This window comes from Homo sapiens, chromosome 2 (genome assembly GCF_000001405.40).
Source record: "Homo sapiens chromosome 2, GRCh38.p14 Primary Assembly".
NCBI classification, from domain to species: Eukaryota; Metazoa; Chordata; class Mammalia; order Primates; family Hominidae; genus Homo; species Homo sapiens.
Genome location: NC_000002.12, coordinates 114,396,334 through 114,420,682, shown reverse-complemented (window position 1 = coordinate 114,420,682; position 24,349 = coordinate 114,396,334). Strand labels below are relative to the sequence as shown.

Sequence of the window (24,349 nt, the reverse complement as noted above, 5' to 3'; positions counted from 1 at the left end):
ATAAATATAATAAGACATATGTGCCATCAAAGAAACATATGTGGAGACAAAAAGGAAGAAATGGTAGATCTTTCTAGGGAAATAGGAAGGGGAGGTGAAAGAAAAAAAATAAAGGCTTTATAGCTCACACACTTCCTAAGTTGTTCTAGTCCCATAATATTCGTGTCCAATGTCTGTGTCACATGCTCAGAAGTATGTTGACAGGGTTGTGCCGGCTGACTGATATAAAAAGATCATTCTAGGTGAGGACAGGGTGACTTATAATGCATTAAAGTGATGCCTTCTAAAAAGACTATTTCTATTTATGAATAGATTGATTTATTTTATGAATAAATTTTTAATGCCTTAACCTAAACAAAGAAGTAACATTGTCAATATATTAGGCCTAATCAAAGAAGCAGTCCAAGACATCTGTTGTTCCTATAATGGCACCAAGTAAGCCATTACCTTCTCCGCTTTTATATCTGATGATAGGTAGGTAGGTAGGTAGGTAGATAGATATTAAACTGATAAGAACAGATACTACACTTGTTCTTAGCCAAAAGGTTGAGAAGTGATGTGATGTTAGATAAATAGATAAATGATGATTGATACACAGATAGATAGATAGATAGATAGATAGATAGATAGATAGATAGAGAGATAGTAGATTTATATGTTAAACTGAAATTGAAGGGAAAAAATGCACTGTTCATTATATGTATATGTGTAATTGTATGGGTGTATATGTTTGTTTTGAAGATTAGAAACAAAGAAAATCACACAACTGTTAATAGTGGTTCATTTCAAGAATGGGAAATCCATCTGGTGTTTCTTTTTCTTTTTATATTTTTTATTATATTTTGTTATTATTTGGCATATTTCAGTATTATTTTCTTATAAGCTTTAATTATTTCCTTTTTGGTATTTATTTTTCCACCAGCATGTTCACAATAGACATCTATTACCTGATGATTACACAAAAATAAAAGTTGTATTTTTTATCTCTAATTTTGAGAGCAGACCACAGGGAAGGAAAACTTGTAGTTGGAGAGTCTATGCACAGTAGAGATTCTAGAAATACTACTTCTTGCAGAATGAACACGTAAGACAAACTATGGAACTCAGAAATCTCAGCATCTATAAAGCCCATGTCAGTTGTAAAGACCCATTAAAATGGAAGATTATTCTTATAATCTGAGATGCAGGGCTAATTAAGAGTCCAGGTTCATCCTCACCTCATGGCGTTCTGCATCTTACCTTCACCTGGGGATTCTCACGGGGCTGCCACTTCAGGTCACAGAGACGAAACAGAAGTAAAAACTGGGTCACTTCAGCCCAGTTTTTAACTTCCCTGGCTGCCTATGCTAAGGCAATCCTGCTGTCCTTACCAGATAATGCTGACCACATTCCTTTGGATTATTGTGTTCACGATGAATATCACAGTCTTATATCAGCTTATTTATTTACTCTTCTGTGTATTGTTGAACACTGTCCACTGAATGATAAGTGGCTGAGGACTGAGGTTGTGTCTGACTTGTGCAATGCCCCTCGCCAGAGCCGGGTACACCTCTGTATAGGCAGCATTTAAGGTATTTTTTAAATTAATGATTGAAGTTGATTTTTAAAAACTAGCTTAAGCATTTGTCAGGTACCAAAACATTTGAATATTTAGAAACCATTTGTTCCATGAAGCCAGTGGATTCACTGATAATTCAACTCTCTGTTTCTGTAACTGAATACCTGGTACTCTGCTAACTCAGAGTGCAAACACAGCCAATTCTCTTTTCTTTTCCTAATTAATCTAACTGTCTTATAAGAGGACATGTCAGTATCCTACTTGCTTGTTGCTGAAATAAATGAAAAATGACCTGATGAACCAAAAGGATTTGCTTCTCTGCCATTTTCTTGATTACCTCATTTTAGCAAGACTTGCTGTTTTTGCCTTTTATTCTTTCACTTAGAGGTGCCTGAATAACTTTCTAATCTTAGAAAGTTTTGAGAATATTAAAACGTTGCAAATTCCATTTGCAACATATCTTGCAAACAATATCTTCGGTGCAATATTTTATCTTTTCAAATGCTTTAAGTATATTTTGTATAAACCTTGGCACTGATGATTTGGCTCAGTCACTTCATGGGCATAAATTAATATATCCTAACTATATTGGATAAACTAACATATAACCTTGTTGGCTAAGCCAGCCCTCATTTTCAAACCAATCCACAAACCAACTATAATTTTTAACTCAAAAATATGTTAATATGTATTCAGAGGAATATTGTAAAAACTGAGTAAATTGCAGATCACATTATGAAAGATAGATTAGTCTGAGGCATACTTTATGATAAAGAAAGATATATACTACTAAAAACTGATAGGTCTGGCACCTGGCACATAAATTTACCTCTTGTCAATAGCAGGTAGAAAATTTAAACCAAATTAGGATTACCTGCAATTGGAAGAAAATGTTGTAATTTGATTTCAAAAATAAGCTTCAGAGCTTTTACATTACACCAACATGAAAACATATGTAATTTTTTAAATTGGTTGATTTAATTGAATATCACCTACCTTTTTTTTTTGATAATTCTAGAACACTTTCCAAATTCCTTAAAAGAACCTCTAATTCTTTGGCTGTTTGAAAATATTTTTCTTTTTAGCACAATGGAGGTCATAAAAATAAGTATTAACCAGAGCTGGGAAAAAAATGGGGAAAAAGCCAGTTTTCATATTCAGTGTTTCTTACTGAGTCTTTTTCTTCACTCTTACAGGACTCTGCCTGATGTAGTTTAGATATTTGTCCAAATCTCATGTTGAATTGTATCTTCAATGCTGGGGGTGGGGCCTGGTGGGAGGTATTTAGATCATGGGAGTGAATACTTCACAGCTTGGTACCGTCCTTGTGATAGTGAATTCTCATGAGATCTGGTCATTTAAAAGTTGGGTGGCGGGGGGGGCACATCTCTCCCACTCTCTCTTGCTTGCTCCTGCTTTTGCCATGTGAAGTGCCTACTCCTGCTTCAGCTCTGCATGACTGAAAGCTCTCTGAGGCTTCACTGGAAGCCAAGCAGATACCAGCATCATGCTTCCTGTAAAACCAGCAGAACCATGAGCCAATTAAATGTCTTTTCTTTATAAATTACCCACTCTCAAGAATTTCTTTATGGGAATACAAGAAAGGCCTAATACACTACCTTAACAGAAATGCATTACTTGACAATAGGTGATGGGTGAAAGAGGATACATGACTAAGTGAATATTGTCATTAGTCCACTCTCTTACTCTACCATAGATATGAAATCAGAAATCCCAATACAGCACCCAAATACTCTCTTTCTGACAAGTACATCAACCTTAACACATTTTTAATGCATGAAAGACTAAAAGCCCTGAGGATATATGGCAACTTACTTATGAAAGAAACCTTCCCCTTAGATGTCTGGGAGGATGTGCACTTTTGTAAGATTTGAGATGGATGAAGAAACATCTTTCTTTTTTAAAGTAGAAAAAGCTCTGTTTTAAATGCAAGCAAGTTATCAGGGAGATAAATTTCAGGTAAATACGAAATATGAAAATTAAGGTTCTGGACCTGATTTTTTAAAAAGTATGTCCACAAGTAACTCTGACCAAGTCTAAAGACTGCTGTTGTAAAGCACCCATCACTGGACAGCCTCACGTCTGACTCTTCCCCATCCCTCTCTGGAATAATACCTCCTTTAAACTCCTAAAACCCAAGAATTAATGACACCCCCTGTCCCTCAGCAATGAAGCTTCTCACTAAACCTCCCAAAGAACGTTATCATCAGTGACTCCAGGAGGTCCTTCTCCCACCTTGTTGAGATGTAGCTTCCCTCAACAAGATGGGAGAAGGACCTCCTGTTATTCAAAGGCAACATGACTATTCTAAGGGAGGCAACACAAATGATTCCAAGGGTATTGCTTAGAGATATCAGTTTGAAATGAAAACGATTCCCTTGTAAGAACATATTGGGTATTCCAGCTCCATTGTTAATGAACACAAGAGCTTTAGTTGCTACCTACCACTGCTGTTGCTATTTGTTAACTCATTAATTAATGCAAAAACGGATTAGCGCAGTAGAAGAGTCAGTAAAGTCTTCAGAATTGAAAAAAACTGGGCTCCCATCTCTGCTTTGATCCTTGCCAGATACGTGATGTTGGGCAAGCAACTCCTGAGTTTCAGTTTTTTTAACTATTAAATGAAGATTAAACTACCAACTTCATAGGATTTTGAGGATTAATTGAATTGACATCTGTAAAGTCCATAGTATAGCCGCATGCCTGACATAGCAGCCAATTAATATAATGTTAGTTCCATTTTCTTATTCATCATTTGCAATGTGCAAAATTATCAACGAAGAAAGGAGATATAAATGCTCTTAGCACAAAATATTGAGAGGCAGTCAGATGTAGGAACAAAAAATTAAAAAAGGGTTGATTAGAGGCTATAAAAGAAGCATGTACAAAGAACTATGGAAGCACAGAGCCAGAAGCCAGGAAGGCAGACCTTCATGTGGGTAGTTCCATATGGTATAATTCAACTCAGTATAACAAATTGCCCTTGAGATCCTGCTCTCAGCTCAGCACTATTGTGTCCAATGGGCCATTCAGAGTATCAACTATAAACTCTGTTCTTTGGTAGTTTATAACTTAGTTCAGAAGACAAGACTTACAGAAAACATAATGTTTTACAAATATTTTTGAATGCCTATATGTGCCAAGAACTATACAATATATAGGGTATACCGGTCCCTTTTAAAGCAAAATTCTATTCGTAGAGATTAATAAGTAAGAAGTTAATCAATTAAATAATTAATGTCACCAATTTATGAGGTGCCAAGAAGTAATAGAGAGGATGCGTGCTGTGGAAGGTCCCGTAGGGACATGGCATGTCAGGCTGCCTTCAAACTCACTCTGAAGACCCAGGCCACCCTTTCTGAACGTGTAGAGTTCAGAGGCAGAACCTGCAACTTGAGTTTTCCGTGCAAAAGAGATCCTTTTGGTTTTCATACATCATATAATTTAACATCCCTTCTCTGCATTTTCTGGAGACCACAAGTAATGAAATGATCACCAGGGTTATGTATTCCATTTGTGATCTATGAATCATTAATTCTTATCAGATTATATATATATATATATATATACACACACACATGTGTGTGTGTGATCATTATTCTAGCTATTCTAGACTCTGCTCTTAGATGCTCAATGCTTCACCATTTGACTCAAGAAACCTGACTTTGTAGAACATACAGTCACAAGAATTGATTAGGCTTAAGACACACTTTAAACACCAAACCAAAGGAGAGTTCATAACCAGAAATATCATGTTGCTATTAAATATGATTCAAGATAATGGAGCTGACATAAGACTATGGATCTTGATGTAATGCCTTTAATTTTCCTAAACAGAACACATTTTTTACAGTAACATGACAGAGCAAAGTGCATTATGCCCAGCCATCAGAATTCCAAGAAACTGTCAACCTCAAAAGAAATCTTCCCGTAGAGCATAGGGCTAAGAAATATTCTCTAATTTCAATGGCATTATTTACTTTTGATTTCAGGATTCTTGGAAATAGTATTTTCTTACATGTCTGGTAATAGAATTTAGAAGGCAAAAATCAGCTTTTTCTTTCTGATCCCCCAAACTGACCACAACTCACATAGCCTTATTTTTACCTCATTCCCAGATTCTCTACATCCAGGAGAAGACATATGGCAGAGAAGAGAAAGGGAAGACACTGGAAACAAGGGGTCCTATGCACACATCAAGACTTCACTACTTATATGTGTATGACCTTATGAATTATTAACCTCTCTTACCTTCAACTTCTTGACCAATGAAATAGGAAAGACAGTATAGTCCATGCAGAATTATTGTGAGAATATAATTAAGGAGATAATAATCATAAAACATCCGGAAATCAATAAATATATATATATAATCACTGTAACAGGAAAAATGAAACCATCTTTTACTTGAAGGCAAAGGCTCTGAGTTTTGGGGGAAAAATAGTCACCAATGTTTCTCAAATTTAAAGGCAACAGTTTGGCATTCTCAAATACAAAATAGTTCAGTTAAAAGTGGTTGAGAGTCCCTCTTTTAAAAAAAATTCACAAACAAGCTGGGAGCAGTGGCTCATGCCTGTAATCCCAGTATTTTTGGAGGTCGAGGTGGGTGGATCACTTGAGGTCAGGAGTTTGAGACCAGCCTGGCCAACGTGGTGAAACCTTGTCTCTACTAAAAATACAAAAGTTAGCCGGGCATGGTGGTGCACACCTGTAATCCCAGCTACTTAGGTGGTTGAGGTAGGAGACTTGCTTGAATCTGGGAGGCAGAGTTTGCAGTAAGCCAAGATCGCGCCACTGCAGTCCAGCCTGGGCAACAGGGCCTGAGTGAGACTCCATCTCAAAAAAATAAAAAATAAATAAAAATAAAAATTACAAACAGATGCACAAATGCAATCAATCAAAAGATGATTTGAGAAACTGTTCTAAGGGTAAGTTCCACAGTCAATAAAGAAGACCATGGTAGTCACTTCCAAGATGGCTGAATAGGAACAGCTCCGGTCTGCAGCTCCCAGTGAGATTGATGCAGAAGGTGGGTGATTTCTGCATTTCCAGCTGAGGTACTGGGTTCATCTCATTGGGACTGGTTGGACAGTGGATGCAGCCCATGGAGGGTAAGCCAAAGCAGGGAGGGGCGTCGCCTCACCCAGGAAGCTCAAGGGGTTGGGGGATTTTCCTTTCCTAGCCAAGGGAAGCCATGACAGACTGTATCTGCAGAAACAGTTCACTCCTGACCAAATACTGCGCTATTCCCACGGTATTAGCAACCGGCCGACCAGGAGATACCCTCCCGTGCCTGGCTCAGCCAGTCCCACGACCATGGAGCCTTGCTCACTGCTAGCGCAGCAGTCTGAGATCGACCTGCGATGCTGCAGCTGGATGGCGGGGGTTGTCCACCATTGCTGAGGCTTGAGTAGCTCAACAGTATAAACAAAGAGGCTGGGAAGCAGGAACTGGGCAGAGCCCACTGCAGCTCAGCAAAGCCTAATGCCTCTATAGATTCCACCTCTGGGGGCAGGGCATAGTAGAACAAAAGGCAGCAGACAGCTTCTGCAGACTTAAATGTCCCTGTCTGACAGCTCTGAAGAGAGCAATGGTTCTTTCAGCATGGCGTTTGAGTTCCGAGAAAGGACAGACTGCCTCCTCAAGCAGGTCCCTGACCCCCGTGTAGCTTCACTGGGAAACACCTCCCAGTAGGTGCCAACAGACACTCAAACAGGCAGATGCCCTTCTGGTACGAAGTTTCCAGAGGAAGGATCAGGCTGTTCTGCAGCCTGATTTGCTGTTCTGCAGCCTCCCCTGGTGATACCCAGGCAAACAGGGTCAGGAGTGGACCTCCAGCAAACCCCAACAGACCTGTAGCTAAGGGATCTGACTGTTAGAAGGAAAACTAACAAACAGAAAGGAATAGCATCAACATCAACAAGAAGGACATCCACACCAAAACCCCATCTGTAGGTCACCAACATCGAAGACCAAAGGTAGATAAAACCACAAAGATGGGGAGAAACCAGAGCAGAAAAGCTGAAAATTCCCAAAAACAGAGCACCTCTTCTCCTCTAAAGGATCACAGCTCCTCGCCAACAAGGGAACAAGACTAGATGGAGAATGAGTTTCACGAGTTGACAGAAGTAGGCTTCAGAAGGTCGGTAATAACAAAGTTCTCCAAGCTAAAGGAGCATGTTCTAATCCATCACAAGGAAGCTAAAAACCTTGAAAAACTGTTAGATGAATGGCTAACTAGAATAAATAGTGTAGAGAAGACCTTAGATGACCTAATGGAGCTGAAAACCAAGGCATGAGAACTTCATGACAAATGTACAACCTTCAATAGCTGATTCAATCAAGTGGAAGAAAGGATATCAGTGATTGAAGACCAAATTAATGAAATAAAGTGAGAAGACAAGATTAGAGAAAAAAGGGTGAAAAGAAATGAACAAAGCCTCCAAGAAATATGGGACTATTTGAAAAGACCAAATATAAGTTTGATTGGTGTACTGGAAAGCGACACGGAGAATGGAACCAAGTTAGACAACACTCTTCAGGATATTATCCAGGAGAACTTCCCTAACCTAGCAAGGCAGGCCAACATTCAAATTCACGAAATACAGAGAATGCCACAAAGACACTCCTTGAGAAGAGCAACCTCAAGACACATAATTGTCAGATTCACCAAGGTTAAAATGAAGGAAAAAATGTTAAGGGCAGCCAGAGAGAAAGGTCAGGTTATCCACAAAGGGAAGCCCATCAGACTAACAGTGGATCTCTCAGCAGAAACCCTACAAGCCAGAAGAGAGTGGGGGCCGATATTCAACATTCTTAAAGAAAAGAATTTTCAACCCAGAATCTCATATCCAGCCAAACTAAGCTTCATAAATGAAGGAGAAATAAAATCCTTTACAGATAAGCAAATGCTCAGAGATTTTGTCACCACCAGACCTGCCTTGCAAGAGCTCCTGAAGGAATCACTAAACATGGAAAGGAACAACTGGTACCAGACACTGCAAAAACATGCCAAATGGTAAAGACCATTGACTCTATGAAGAAACTGCATCAATTAACGGGCAAAATAACCAGCTAATATCATAATGACAGGATCAAATATAACAATATTAACCTTAAATGTAAATGGGCTAAATGCCCCAGTTAAAAGACACAGAATGGCAAATTGGATAGAGACTCAAGACCCATCAGTATGCTGTATTCAGGAGGCCCATCTCATGTCCACAGATGCACATAGTTTCAAAATAAAGGGATGGTGGAAGATCTACCAAGAAAATGGAAAGCAAAAAGAAAAAAAGCAGGGGTTGGAATCCTACTCACTGATAAAATAGACTTCAAAACAACAAAGATCAAAAGAGACAAAGAAGACCACTATATAATGGTAAAGGGATCGATTCAACAAGAGCTAACTATCCTAAATATATATGCACCCAATACAGGAGCACCCAGATTCATAAAGCAAGTCCTTAGAGACCTACAAAGAGACTTAGACTCCCATATAATAATAATGGGAGACTTTAATACCCCACTGTCAACATTAGACAGATCAACGAGACAGAAGGCTAACAAGGATATCCAGGACTCGAACTCAGCTCTGCACCAAGTGGACCTAATAGACATCTACAGAAATCTACACCCCAAATCAATAGAATATACACTCTTCTCACACCACATCGCACTTATTCTAAAATTGACCACATGATTGGTAGTAAAACACTCCTCAGCAAATGTAAAAGAACAGAAATCACAACAAACTATCTCTCAGACCACAGTGCAATCAAATTAGAACTCAGGATTAAGAAACTCACTCAAAACCACACAACTACATGGAAACTGAACAACCTACTCCTGAGTGACTACTGGGTAAATAAGGAAAAGAAGGCAGAAATAAAGATGTTCTTTGAAACCAATGAGAACAGAGACACAATGTGCCAGAATCTCTGGGACACATTCAAAGCAGTGTGTAGAGGGAAATTTATAGGACTGAATGCCCACAAGAGAAAGCAGGAAAGATCTAAAATTGACACCCTAACATCACAATTAAAAGAACTAGAAAAGGAAGAGCAAACAAATTCGAAAGCTAGCAGAAGGCAAGAAATAACTAAGAGCAGAACTGAAGGAGATAGAGACACAAAAATCCCTTCAAAAAATCAATGAATCCAGGAGCTGGTTTTTTGAAAAGATCAACAAAATAGACAGACCGCTAGCAAGACTAACAAAGAAGAAAAGAGAGAAGATTCAAATAAACACAATAAAAAATGATAAAGGGGATATCACCACCGATCCCACAGAAATACAAACTACCATCAGAGAATACTATAAAGACCTCTACACAAATAAACTAGAAAATCTAGAAGAAATGGATAAATTCCTGGACACATACACCCTCCCAAGACTAAACCAGGAAGAAGTTGAATCTCTGAATAGACCAATAACAGGTTCTGAAATTCAGGCAACAATTAATAGTCTACCAACTAAAAAAAGTCCAGGACCAGATGGATTCACAGCTGAATTCCACCAGAGGTACAAACAGGAGCTGGTACCATTTCTTCTGAAACTATTTCAATCAATAGAAGAAGAGGGATTCCTCCCTAACTCATTTTATGAGGCTAGCATCATCCTGATAACAAAGCTTGGTAGAAACACAACAAAAAAAGAGAATTTTAGGCCAATATCCCCGATGAACATCGATGCAAAAATCCACAGTAAAATACTGGCAAACCAAATCCAGCAGCACATCAAAAAACTTATCCACCATGATCAAGTGGGCTTCATCCCTGGGATGCAAGCCTGGTTCAACATACACAAATCAATAAACGTAATCCAGCATATAAACAGAACCAATTGATTATCTCAATAGACGCTGAAAAGGCCTTCAACAAAATTCAACAGCGCTTCATGCTAAAAACTCTCAATAAACTAGGTATTGACGGAACATATCTCCAAATAATAAGAGCTATTTATGACAAACCCTCAGCCAATATCATACTGAACAGGCAAAAACTGGAAGCATTCTCTTTGAAAACCGGCACAAGACAGGGATGCCCTCTCTCACCACTCCTATTCAACATAGTGTTGGAAGTTCTGGCCAGGGCAATCAGGCAGGAGAAGGAAATAAAGGGTATTCAATTAGGAAAAGAGGAAGTCAAATTGTCCCTATTTGCAGATGACATGATTGTTTATTTGGAAAACGCCATCATCTCAGCCCAAAATCTCCTTAAGCTGATAAGCAACTTCAGCAAAGTCTCAGGATACAAAATCAATGTGCAAAAATCACAAGCATTCCTATACACCAATAATAGACAAACAGAGAGCCAAATCATGAGTGAACTCCCTTTCACAATTACTACAAAGAGAATAAAATACCTAGGAATCCAGCTTATAAGGGATGTGAAGGATCTCTTCAAGGAGAACTATAAACCACTGCTCAATGAAATAAAAGAGGACACAAACAAATGGAAGAACATTCCATGCTCATGAATAGGAAGAATTAATATCGTGAAAATGGCCATACTGCCCAAGGTAATTTAGAGATTCAATGCTATCCCCATTAAGCTACGAAAGACTTTCTTCACAGAATTGGAAAAAACTACTTTAAAGTTCATATGGAACCAAGAAAGAGCCCGAATAACCAAGACAATCCTAAGCAAAAAGAACAAAGCTGGAGGCATCATGCTAACTGACTTCAAACTATACTACAAGGCTATAGTAACCAAAACAGCATGGTACTGGTACCAAAACAGAGGTATAGACCAATGAAACAGAACAGAGGCCTCAGAAATAACACCACACACCTACAACCATCTGATCTTTGACAAACCTGACAAAAACAAGCAATGGGGAGAGGATTCCCTATTTAATAAATGGTGCTGGGAAAACTGGCTAGCCATATGCAGAAAGCTGAAACTGGATCCCTTCCTTACCTCATATACAAAAATTAACTCAAGATGGATTCAAGACTTAAATGTAAGACCTAACACCATAAAAACCCTAGAAAAAAACCTAGGCAATACCATTCAGGACATAGGCATGGGCAAAGACCTCATGACTAAAACACCAAAAGCAATGGCAAGAAAAGCCAAAATATACAAATGGGATTTAATTAAACTAAAGATCTTCTGTAGAGTAAAAGGAACTATCATCAGAGTGCACAGGCAACCTACAGAATGGGAGAAATTTTTTGCAATCTACCCATCTGACAAAGGGCTAATATCCAGAATCTACAAATAACAAATTTATTAAGATGGTATGGCAATTCCTCAAGGATCTAGAACTAGAAATACCATTTGCCCCAGCAATCCCATTACTGGGCATATACCCAAAGGACTATAAATTATTCTACAATAAAGACACATGCACACGTATGTTTATTGCAGCACTATTCACAATAGCAAAGAGTTGGAACCAGCCCATATATCCATCAATGATAGACTGGATCGAGAAAATGTGGCACATATACACCATGGAATACTATGCAGCCATAAAAAAAGGATGAGTTCATGTCCTTTGCAGGGACATGGATGAAGCTGGAAACCATCAGTCTAAGCAAACTATCACAAGGACACAAAACCAAAAACTGCAGCCCAAAATCTCCTTAAGCTGAAAAGCAACTTCAGCAAAGTCTCAGGATACAAAATCAATGTGCAAAAATCACAAGCATTCCTATACACCAATGATAGAAAAACAGAGAGCCAAATCATGAGTTAACTCCCATTCACAATTACTACAAAGAGAATAAAATACTCATAAGTGGGAGTTGAACAATGAGAACACATGGACACAGGGTGGGGAACATCACACACTGGGGTCTGTCGGGGGTCGTGGGGTATGGGGAGGGAGAGTATTAGGACAAATACCTAATGCATGTGGGGCTTAAAACCTAGATGATGGATTAATAGGTGCTGCAAACCACCATGGCACATGTATACCTATATAACAAACCTGCACGTTCTGCACATGTATCCAGAACTTGAAGTAAATTAAAAAATAAATAAGTAAATAAATAAGAAAAGTATCTCCATCTTTAGGGCTTAGACAAAGATTAACGTCTCCTTTGGGAAATGAGTATTTACGTGCATAAAGAGTATATATACACATCTGATAGAAAAGTTGCATTTCAAAGTTGAAGTCATCAAGAGAGTTTCTACATCTTACTTTCATGAGAATGCATCACAGCACTTGAAGTATTACCTCCACCCCATCTGCACTTGAAGACCTCAGCTTCATCTCTACTCCTCTCCCTCTACTCCACAGGACCTGGAGTTCCAAAGGCCATCACGGAGTCTCCTGTCTCCTTTTACCAATCTATACTTTCATCCAACCTGTGGATGAAGGATTATGAAGGGCTATGAAGTAGGAATGACTTAAACTTACAGATGTGTACTGAGAGGAAGTCCTGGGGAAGTTAGAGTGAGAAAAGATGTAAGGGTATTATAAATCATGCTGCTATAAAGACACATGCACGCTGTTCATTGTGTCACTATTCACAATAGCAAAGACGGAACCAATCCAAATGTCCATCAATGATGGACTGGATTAAGAAAATGTGGCACCTGTACACCATGGAATACTATGCAGCCATGAAAAAGGATGAGTTCATGTCCTTTGTAGGGACATGGATGAAGCTGGAAACCATCATTCTCAGCAAACTATCACAAGGACAAAAAACCAAACACCGCATGTTCTCACTCATAGGTGGGAATTGAACGATGAGAACACATGGACACAGGAAGGGGAACATCACACACCGGGGCCTGTTGTGGGGTGGGGGGAGGGGGGAGGGATAGCAATAGGAGATATACCTAATGTAAATGACGAGTTAATGGGTGCAGCACAACAACATGGCACATGTATACATATGTAACAAACCTGCACATTATGCACATGTACCCTAGAACTTAAAGTATAATTAAAAAAAAAAAAAAGAAAGAAAAGACCTAAGGGTAAGGAAGGGAAGGTGTAAACTGTGGATTAATGGAGGGTCAGAAGACAAAGGTTATGAAAAAAAAATTGCTCTTGCCAAAAACCACAACCTGAGGACAGGGAGTTAAACAGTCATTTGTCCAAGGCATGTATATTATCTGAAGTAATTATAAAGCACATTAACATCTTCAACCCAGAATATAAACTATATTTTCAGTTTTCAAGCAGAGAACAGAAAACAGAAAGGTTTTGCAAAGAAAAAAGGGAAAAGATCATAATCATTGACCAGAGAGAAAAGTCCATAGGTAGCTTTCCCAGTTAGGATATTTAGAGTGATGGCGGGGGTGAGATTGTTACTAAAAGTGGGGACTAGACCATTTTAGCAGGAGGTTAAGAGTACAAAACTTTGGTCAAACCCATATTTGCAGGATTTTCCTAAAATCTGGTTTGGCAGCAAAAAGCCAGAAATCTGGTTTGGCTCCAAGCAAATCCCAAAATGTGAATAGTTAAATTAGGAGGTGTAAGTCATCCTTTCAGATAAAGTCTATTTTTTTCCAGAAACATTCATATAGAGCTATTGCATGCAATTGCATAGACTGCACGTTGCAGGCCATGTCCCAGTCTATGTAAATGGTGCCCTGGGGATTGAAAGTGAACAACCCTTACATAGCATGCAGCTGTTCTGCACTTAACAATAGACGTAACTCTAAATCTGGGGTCTTCTTTTCTTTGTATAGCAAAAGATTTGTGTCTGAACTGTCTTTAAACAACCAGTTCTCCAGTGGAACTATTCTAATAGTAACATGTCTAGTTCAGTTGAAGCAGGTCTGTCCTGAGATTCATCTTTATGGCCTCACCTAGACTGTATACCGCTTGAGATTCTTGACCTCTGCATTGATTTTACCTCATGTAGGATAAGTTTTAGAAAGGATTTGTTATCAGCCTAGTAAACACAGCCTATTTTTATAGCCCATGTTTCTTATAGACAAATTCTAGATGTGATTCATGGATTCATATTCTACATTGCCTTGTATATAATAAGTACTCAAGGGTTATTAATGGAATGAGTAATAAGAGGAACTAAATCTACTGGGTTTTGTTTTGTATTGTTTTGTTTTGTTTTGTTTTGCTTGTATCTCCCCATAGCAACTGTGAAGGGGTAACACTCAAAGGCAACATATGAGCATCAACAAACGATTCTCCTAAATGATAGTTTTTTCTTTCAGAAACATTGCTTAAAACAGCTGAAGAACTAAATGAGGTTTCTGAAACGAAACTACAAAGAAAGTCTGGCAGAAATAGTTTCTTCTTTCCTAATCATCCAGGATGGTCCCATGGGGTGGTGCTGCCCTTCGGGCCAGGCAATGCTCCAGGCAATGCTCCAGGCGATGCATTCAGGCCAGGTGATGCATTGGAGAAGCTGGTGATTGTGTTGTGGGAAAGGGGAGGCAGAAAGAGACAGCCTGTGGGGTGTCTTAGCCTGATTGCTGAGAGAGGCCTCGGGGGTGGGACCTAATTCTGGAGCACTGCTCTGTCTCACCTACCTCCTCCCAAAGTCGTGATAGTTGTCTGTTATTTAAACTCTTGAAATGAGAGACGAAAGTATCTAAAATGAGCATGATAAAATGGAGCATTATTGAATTAGAAAACGAAGTCTGATTTTGAGAGGCAGAATATAATTACAGGGTTGGAGCGTTTCCAGGAGATTGTGGATGGCGCCCCAGCTGAGTGTTGAAGAAATTCTTCCAGACTGAGCCTAGACAGATGATGTTTGTCATCCTCCTCCTCACAAGTGCTGTGGACTCCAGTCTTAAAATGATGCAGCACCTCACAGTGTCCACTGATGTCCAAATGCCAATGGTCTCAGCTTCACACCTCTCTAAAGCTGTATCCTCCAAACAGTGGAGAAAGCTGAACTCACAACTTTTTTTGATCTGCTGTGTGTAGAAATCAGATTGAGTGAATAAACATGAAAACATTGGAATCTGTAAAAAGCAATATAAGATTTAGATATTGTTACTGATATTGAAAAGGTTGCTGTATTATAATTCCTAATACCTTGGTCAAATATATTCAAAACCCTCATTAAAAGCATAAAAGCAGGTCTATTTATACTGCTCGTAATTATAACATAGCAATTACTCTTTTTCACGGATAACCTATGTGAATAGAAAATATTTTCCATTATTTTCAATAGGATCTTATACACTTAATTCATTGTAAAAGTTTATGTTTAGATTCTAAATACTTTAAGTCTAAATATTATTTATTTGGGGGAAAAAAACAGTTTCCACAAGATTCGATAGATTTGCAAGCAGTCAGACATGAAGGAAGGTAAACTTAGGCTTCACTGAGGAGCAAGAAAGGGAACAAGGGTTCACAGGCTGGCCTGCAACCCTGTTGGAGCTCCAGAGGCTGTCCTGTCTGGAACACTCAACTGTGTCCTCAGAATCCCACTGTGCTCCTTACAGGATGGGTTTTCCCCAGTCTTTCCTGCTCATCAGCTCTTCTCACCCTTTCTGGGGCTAGACCTTGGCTTCTGACTTCTTGTGATCACTTAGCATTTTGAATATTGGCTCCCTTCTGTTCACCTTAACAATCACTTTTTGAAAGCCTACATCAGGATTTTCCAACTTTAGTTCAATTACCTGGAGAGCTTGTTAAACCAGACTGCTGGGCCTCAGGGTTTCTCTTTCAGCAGGTCTGAGGAGGAGTGGGAGAGAGTCAAAAATGTGTGTTTTCTAGCAAACTCCCTGGCAATGCTGATGTTGCTGGTCCAGCCTCACCTTTTGAGAAGCACTGGCCCCCACCACACTTAGTGTTACCCTTAGGTTCACACGAGTTCTAACAATCCTGTAACATTAGATATTTTTATTCTCATTTTATTAATGAGGAAACCAAGACTCAGAAAAGTTTAATAGCTTGCCTGAGGGCACACAATGAATGAAAATAAACTAGGATGCTCACCTAGGACTCTCCTATACCAAAACCTATGATCTTTGAAATACATATTTTGTTCTCATTGTATTCTCAAAATTAAGCCAGAAACACCGCCCGCCCCAACTAATGTCCTTAGAAACATTTATAAGGGAGGAATTCTTACTGTTTTATCTCACAACCTTCTTAACCCAAGAATCTGCCTCAGGTCATGGGTGAGAAAGCTGCCAGCTGCTGGCACTGATGCCCCCTCATCAGATTATCTGTGTGACAAGCAATTAAGTAGAGCGTCATCAATCCCTCTCAGCACCTGCAACTCATTGTGGAACCAAACAGCTCAAGTCCAAGAGTTCCATTCAGAAGAATGGTATAAACAGATGATGCCTGATTTGTCAGGGATCCCCCAAGGCCAATATTCAACTTCCATTAAGAAAAAAGGAGATTTATGCAAAAGTTGTCTAATGCTCTCCATATGGTAGGCCATAGATAAGAAACTTAGCTACATTCAGTAAGAAAGTAGTCTTTGCCTTACCAGCCTATAGGCTTTTGAGAACATCAACCATTTTTTTGCATGTGGAAGAAGGCTCATAAAAGTTGTATTGCAATGGCTTGAGTCAAAAATCTACCTCAATATTCTAGGAAATGATTTAAATAATTCATAACCAAAGACAGTCTTTATAAGCTGTGGCTATATATACTGCATTAATCTGGCTGACCATTTAAGTGATGGCTGTTTTTAGCAATGTTGGTATCTCCTGCCATTCCAAGCTGGCTTCTAACAACTGCAGGTTTCATTCTGCCCCAGTTAGAGCAAGTAAACCACAAAGCAGGTAGTACGTAAGAAACTCTAGACCCTTGTGCTAGGGTTCAGCAACAGATTGTGATTGGTGGAATCTATCCAGTGAAATAAACATCCAATCAGTATCTGTCCATGAGGCAGAATGGTGTTCAGCGTCAAAGTCATGCTCTTCAACAGTATAGAGAGTGTTTAGGTTGGGTGGTGAGTTCAGCATGCTTGTACTACTTGTATCAAAATTGTACCGAAGAATTAATTCATAAGCTTATCAATACAAGAAGGGAAACACATACAGGCAGAAAGTTACACAACTACAACAGATACCTCAGGACACAAGGAGGAACTATTTTTACTCCTACATGTAGATAGCTCTCATCCTGCCCACGCCAGCCACCCACCCTCAAGGAAGTCTGACCAGAGGCGCTCAAGTGATTCCCTTTGCATTTGGCTGAGAGAAGATTGCACTCCCCCACTTATACCTAGAGAAGCTGGGAAATGGAAAGGACCCTAGTTACTCTTAAAGAAACACACACTTAATGGAGAAACCCCAGCCTGTCAGTTCATCAGCACCTGCCTAATGGGGAAGAAAATCTTCCTAAACATAACACTTGCTTTCACATATGACAATTTCCAGATGATACAGGGGGACTCATACCTACTGAAGGGCTGCTAAGTCTAGAGACATTAGACTAGTGAGTAGGCAAAGAAAGATTATAAAAATTCCAAGGAGATGCCATCTTGAAGAATGGAAGCCAATACAAGCCATCAGAAAAAATGTAGCAGACCAAGCCAATGTGTCCTGCTGAGCTCAAACTGCAGCAACCTCTCTATACCCCTTTCTGTGGGTGGCTTATGTAGCTCAGATCAGCCAAGTTAAGTAGAATATTGCCTAGTTCCTTCTCTTCAGGGAAGGGCAGTGCTAGAATACCACTTGGAAGTCTCAAGGAAATCACACCTAGGTAGGCAATCATATTTAAATCTAGACTCCAGATAAAATTCTATGCCAGAGGAGAGCATAGAGAAATTTAAAATGACCAGGTACTCTTAGGAATGAGGGAAATTATTCTCATTTTTCAGAAATTAAAGCAAAATCAGATACTCTGTTTTGAGTTTCCAAAAGTATTAATCGAAGCTGCCAGGCTTATGAAAGAAGACTGAGGAAAGGGAAGGTGTTCAGAAATCCAGATCTTGAGAATATAACCTGGAGTATCAATGCAGAAGCTAAGACTGACCCAGGTGCAAATGCAAAAACCATCTGCTTCACTGATGCCAGTTCTCCCTTTCATGGTTGCCCCTAGAGGTAATGCTCTGAATATGTTATTTTCATTGAATCAGTTATATACTGGCTATGCCATGCCCTGGCCAAGGTGGTTTCTACCAGGCCAAGAAGAAAGACATAGGTTTTCTATAGCATTGGAGATCACAGGCAAAGGAATTGAGTAGGGGGTATTTAGTTGATGAGTGAATTTTATTCAAATATAGCATCCCAGGCAAAGTTACAAAGCAGATTCCAAGTGGGTATTTGCTGGGAGAATGATGGTATTAAACAGTCAGTGGAACTTGCAAGTAGACAGTTGACACTGGGGAATAATAAGAGACGAGGCTAAGGAGGTAGCTATTTACAGGAGGCACTGCTAAAGAATTTAGACTTTATTCTGAAGGCAGATGGGAGCCATTGAATGCTATTAAGATGAGGTATGACATAATCTCATTTACGGCATAGAAAGATCACTGTGATTACTAAGAAATGAATGAGTATAGAAGCAAGGAGAAGTGCTATAAACTTTTGCCAGCCATTACGAGTCAAAATTGTTCTATATTGCATAAACTAAATGGCAAACGTAAATTTCTTGGTGGAGTGAACCACGCTGCGAAGTACACTCACTGAAAATAGCAAAGTAGAACTCTCATTGGCTGAGAGCAGAGACAGTGTAGTTTGCTAATGTTCATTGGTCTAGAATTGTGCAGTTTACTCTGTCTCCCTAGTTCTCATTGGCTGAGAATGTTTAGTAACATTTACATATAACATAAATTAAAATGTCTTATGATAAGTTACACAATATATATTATCTCTTCTTATTTTAGAAAATAATTGAGTTAAATGGTGTCGGGCATTAAGCTGGATATGTTAGTTTCCTATTGCTATTCTAACGAACTACCACAAATTTAGTGGCTTACCACAACACAAATTTATTATCTTACAGTTCTATAGAATAAAGTCCAAAATAACTTTCACACAACTAAAATTAAGGTGTCAGTACGGCTGCATTCTTTGGTGGCTCTAGGGGGAAACTCCGTTTCCTTGGCATTTTCAGTTTCTAAATGCTGCTTTCAAACCTTCTTCAAATCCACCAGTGTGGCATCTTCAAAACCCATTCTGAGTCTGACTTCCTCTTCTGCGGTTTTCCTCCACTTTCAAGGACACTTGTGATTACACTGGGTCCACCCAGATAATCCAACATAATCTGCTTATTTTTAGGTCAGCTAATTAGCAATCCTGACTCCACATCCATCCTCAACAATTCTCTCTTGCCACATAATGACATATTCTTAAATTCTAGGGGTTAGGACATGGGCATCTTTGGTGGGGTGAGGGAGAGAATTATTCTGTCTATAACATCTGGTTACTTACATATCTATCCAATAGATAGTGGATCTAATCTCGCTGCTTCCAATTCTTACACTGGCTCTCTCATAGTAGGCACCCTGAAGTAGGCTGCAGGAATTTTGAGGAAGATGCTGTCCAGAATGCATGTTATTAGGAGGAAAGCATTCTGGAGGGCATGAGGCTTGATTTGGGCCTTGAAGGATGAATATTATTGTTTTAAGAACAGAACAAGGATGTAGATTATCTAAAGAAGGAGGCCAGGAAGAGAAGAAGTGCAGAAGAAATAATGTAAAAGGCCTGGTTAGAGAACTATGAGCAGACTGACAAGGAAAAACTGTTTTCCCGTGAACTGGGGTTTTCATTAAAGGGCAATGTTGCAGAATGTAAATGCCATATATATGAGATGGCACCAAGCCAACCACACTTGTATGCACATGCACACACATACACACAAGGAAAAATGTCCCACTGGAGACTCTTCAAGGAATTGTTTTCAAATAAATGGTCCAAAGTACAGATGCTAAAGTGTGGCAGGTAGAAGGGGGTTGGTGGTACAATGACATTATGACATCTATCAAAAATGTATCCGTGACCTAGAAGGATTGACACCTAGTAGATGGAAGAAAACAGGTCTAAGACACATCATTATTTCAGGGAATTTGAAGAGGAAAAAAACTCCCTCCTAAAATGCTGGTAATGTACCCTTTAGCAATGATAAGAACCCAAATACCTGAGGCACTGAAGTAACTCTTCCCAGGAAGACATCTCCAAGGCCAAACTGGGTGTGCAGGAGAACACCTACTGGCGTAAAGCACAAGGGGTTCTGTGGTAAGAAGAGAGGAACAAGGCTCTCTAAAAGCAGAGAGATGGGTCATTTAGCCAGTCTAGGAGGTGAGAGAAGGCTTCTCAAAGGAGGAAAGGGCCCCATTGCATCTTGTAGAAAAATAGGGTAAATCAGACAGAGAAATAAGAGCAGTCAAACCAAGGGAATACAGTGGGCAAAGATGTGTATATATAAGACTATTTGATATTTACAATATGCTAATTTGTACTGTTATTTTTATTTCCCAGCTTCATCTCAGGTCCTTTTAACTGTAGCTTAGCTATTAGTAAATAAAAAACAAAAGTTGCAAGTAAATAGCTATTATAATAACAATTTCAGAAAGTCATCACACAATAAATAACAAAATAGGGTAACACGAAATGTGTTTGCTGAAGTGTATTATTGAATTCATGAGAATATCAACATGTTATTTGGTACTGAATTTCAAAAAAGTCAAAATTAAATCTGTATAACCACCCCTTATTCATGCCTCTATACATCTCAAATTATTCAAATTCCAAAGAGAAACAAAAAGGGCCAAGAATTTCAAGCTAGAAAGGTTCATAAATCATTCTCCCTTGTCTCTCTGCTTGCCTCTGGTAAGAAGAAAATAAAAATGAAAAAGTTAAGACAAATATGACAACAAAGTGTTAAATTACACAAACTAAATAGGCAATCGAGCAATGAAAAGCTCAGGAATTAGTTGGTGAATAGAACAGTCATCAGCAGGTATTCATCTAGTGGGACAACTTAAATAGCTTTCAAGAAATTACTTTGGAAAGGATCTGGATTTAACAATGTCAAGGGAAATCTAGCCCTACTTCAAATGTTCTTCTGAGGCAAGCTAACAGGCTGCCAGAAAACAAACTGCAGCATTAAAAGGAAACAGAGATTCACTGGGAGCTTGCATTTTTTCAATACTGCTGTTAGTTACGTCTACAGGAGCCATGCGATGAACAGGTATCATCCCCTACTTCGAAGGCCTTGCAACATCTTCCATGGTGGTCTCATAAAGAATGTGCTTTGGTTTCTTTCCACGAAGAAGGGGTAGACCAGGAGTCAAGAGATCTCAATTCTTTTTAATCCCTCTGTCACTAACCAGGCATGTGCTCTCAGATGAGCCACTTCATTTACCTGTACAGGCCTCAACGTCATTACCTGTAAACTAAACCAGATAATATCCTTTTCCAATCTAAGTGTCAATGATTCCAAGCTATTAAGAATTTGGTCTAAGAGAGAATGTTATTTCTGTTGTTTCAGAGTAAAATCAAATTCCAGGACTCTAATTTGCATATGTCCTGTATGCATGGGTTCCCACGTTACTCAAGACTGCCAATCAATCTGCTGTGGACCAATCTTAACATCTCATTTGTGTATAGGGCAAGATCTGATCAATGTCTCTTTCTCTTTTCATGGGAATGCAGACAGTCTTCACTTTGCACAGCAGGCAGTATTCATAAAAATGACTGTGCAAGCTGATACTGTGCAAAGTAATCTTTAATAATCACTAGGGAAAATTAAATTGTTCTGTGACCTTTAAATCTTTTGTCAAAATATTAAAAACCCTATTACTATCAGTTATATATGTATAGGGTGATGGAAAAAACAGTAAAACTATTTTTTAGTACACTGTAATTTAAAACATTAGAGGCAGTGAGAATTAAAACGTCATATTTCTTTGTAAAAAAAACTTGTCTCTTGATAAGCTCTTTGAACAGTGCTTCCCTTTTCTTCTCATTGTGTAACTTACAATATAGAACAAGCTTCTTTTCACATCTTGGCAAATGGTCACATTCCTTCCAAAGTTTGTATTAGCTTCCAACATTTTTAACCTTTGCACTTTCAGTATTATGAAATATCTCCAAGTTCCTTCAATTTGAAAGTTTTTGCTGGCATCACTTCCTCTAGGACATCTTCATCCTTTTTTTTTTTTTTTTGAGATGGAGTCTCGCTCTGTCGCCCAGGCTGGAGTGCAGTGGCTCGATCTCGGCTCACTGCAAGCTCCGCCTCCCGGGTTCACGCCATTCTCCTGCCTCAGTCTCCCGAGTAGTTGGGACCACAGGCCCCCGCCACCGCGCCCGGCTAATTTTTTGTATTTTTTAGTAGAGACGGGGTTTCACCTTGTTAGCCAGGATGGTCTCGATCTCCTGACCTCGTGATCCGCCCGCCTCGGCCTTCCAAAGTGATCCTCATCCTCTTTATCACAACCACTTTATGTCAATAAGTTTCCCTAATAAAATAAAATAAATAAGTTTTTCTTCACTCAGTGTATCTGGCTGCATGTGCAGAGATTCTCGAAAGATGGCAATGTCAAGGTCAGCTCTTTGTTCTATAACTTCATTTATGTTTAATTTTAATTTCTTTTCCAGAATTAGCACATTCTCTTTCTTTACTCCATTTTGAACTTTGTGGGTCACTTCTGTTTTGATTGTCTAATTTTGTAAAATGGCATGTGGATTAATCAGGGGCAGACAAGGACATAACACAACTATATGCTTTGTTGTCTGTGCATGAATGGAATAATAGACGTGCAGTAACCACTCACCATAGACCTTGAAAGAAGTGACCCGATTGGCCATTGACCATGATAGCAGCCTATTATTTACTTAGTGGTTTGTGCACGAAGAGCTTTCGGCAACGTTGGTATATAATGCAATTATTCACAGTTAATATTCTGTGGTAATCAAAATTTGAACCATATTTTGGGACTAGGGTTACTTAATACCATGTGCTTGTAACTGAAATCCACGCATATCAGAATTGTGTCAAGTAAGACCTGCCTGTATGGCCAAATTGGCTTTTTGTTTTCCTCTTATCCATCTCGATAAAGACATCTTAAGAACTCCTTTTTATGGCCGAGCACAGTCGCTCACACCTGAAATCCCAGCAGTTTGGGAAGTCGTCTCTACCACAAATATAAAAAATGAGCCGGGCGTGGTGGCGCGTGCACGACTGTGGTCCCAGCTACTCGGGAGGCTGAGGCAGGAGAATGGCTCGAACCTGGGACGCAGAGGTTGCAGTGAGCTGAGATGGTGCCGCTGCACTCCAGCCTGGGAAACAGAGGGAGGCTTCGTTTCAGAAAAGAAAGAAAGAAAGAAAGAGAGAAAGAAAGAAAGAAAGAAAGAAAGAAAGAAAGAAAGAAAGAAAGAAAGAAAGAAAGAAAGAAAGGAAGGAAGGAAGGAAGGAAGGAAGGAAGGAAGGAAGGAAGGAAGGAAGGAAGGAGAGAGAGAGAGAGAGAGAGAAAGAAAGAAAGAAAGAAAGAAGAAAGAAAGGAAGGAAGAAAGAAAGAAAGAAGAAAGAAAGAAAGAAAGAAAGAAAGAAAGAAAGAAAGAAGAAAGAAAGGAAGGAAGGAAGGAGAGAGAGAGAGAGAGAGAGAAAGAAAGAAAGAAAGAAAGAAAGAAAGAAAGAAAGAAAGAAAGAAGAAAGAAAGAAAGAAGAAAGAAAGAAGAAAGAAAGAAGAAAGAAAGAAGAAATAAAGAAAGAAAGAAAGAAGAAAGAAAGAAAGAGAAAAGAAAAAGAATTCCTTTTCTCACATACCTATTCTTCTTTTTAATCCTGTTTTTTCCAACAACACTAAAGATACCACGAAAAATCTCTCTTCCGATTCAGTCTCCTTCTCTCATCCCCACATCTTCCATCATATCTATCAACCAAAACAGAAACAAAAAACGGTCTTAATCGTTT

The 24,349-nt window shown here is 39.0% G+C and overlaps 1 pseudogene, besides 1 other annotated feature; it reads right to left on the bottom strand.

Moving 5' to 3' along the window:
* RNU2-41P (RNA, U2 small nuclear 41, pseudogene) lies at nucleotides 381–558 on the bottom strand (annotated as a pseudogene).
* Nucleotides 6,888–7,388: an enhancer, noted in NCBI's record as "H3K4me1 hESC enhancer chr2:115170872-115171372 (GRCh37/hg19 assembly coordinates)". NCBI's record gives its function as "activates a minimal SCP1, AML or CMV promoter by ChIP-STARR-seq in primed H9 embryonic stem cells {active_cell/tissue: H9 hESC(primed)}" and the evidence as "EXISTENCE:reporter gene assay evidence [ECO:0000049][PMID:30033119]".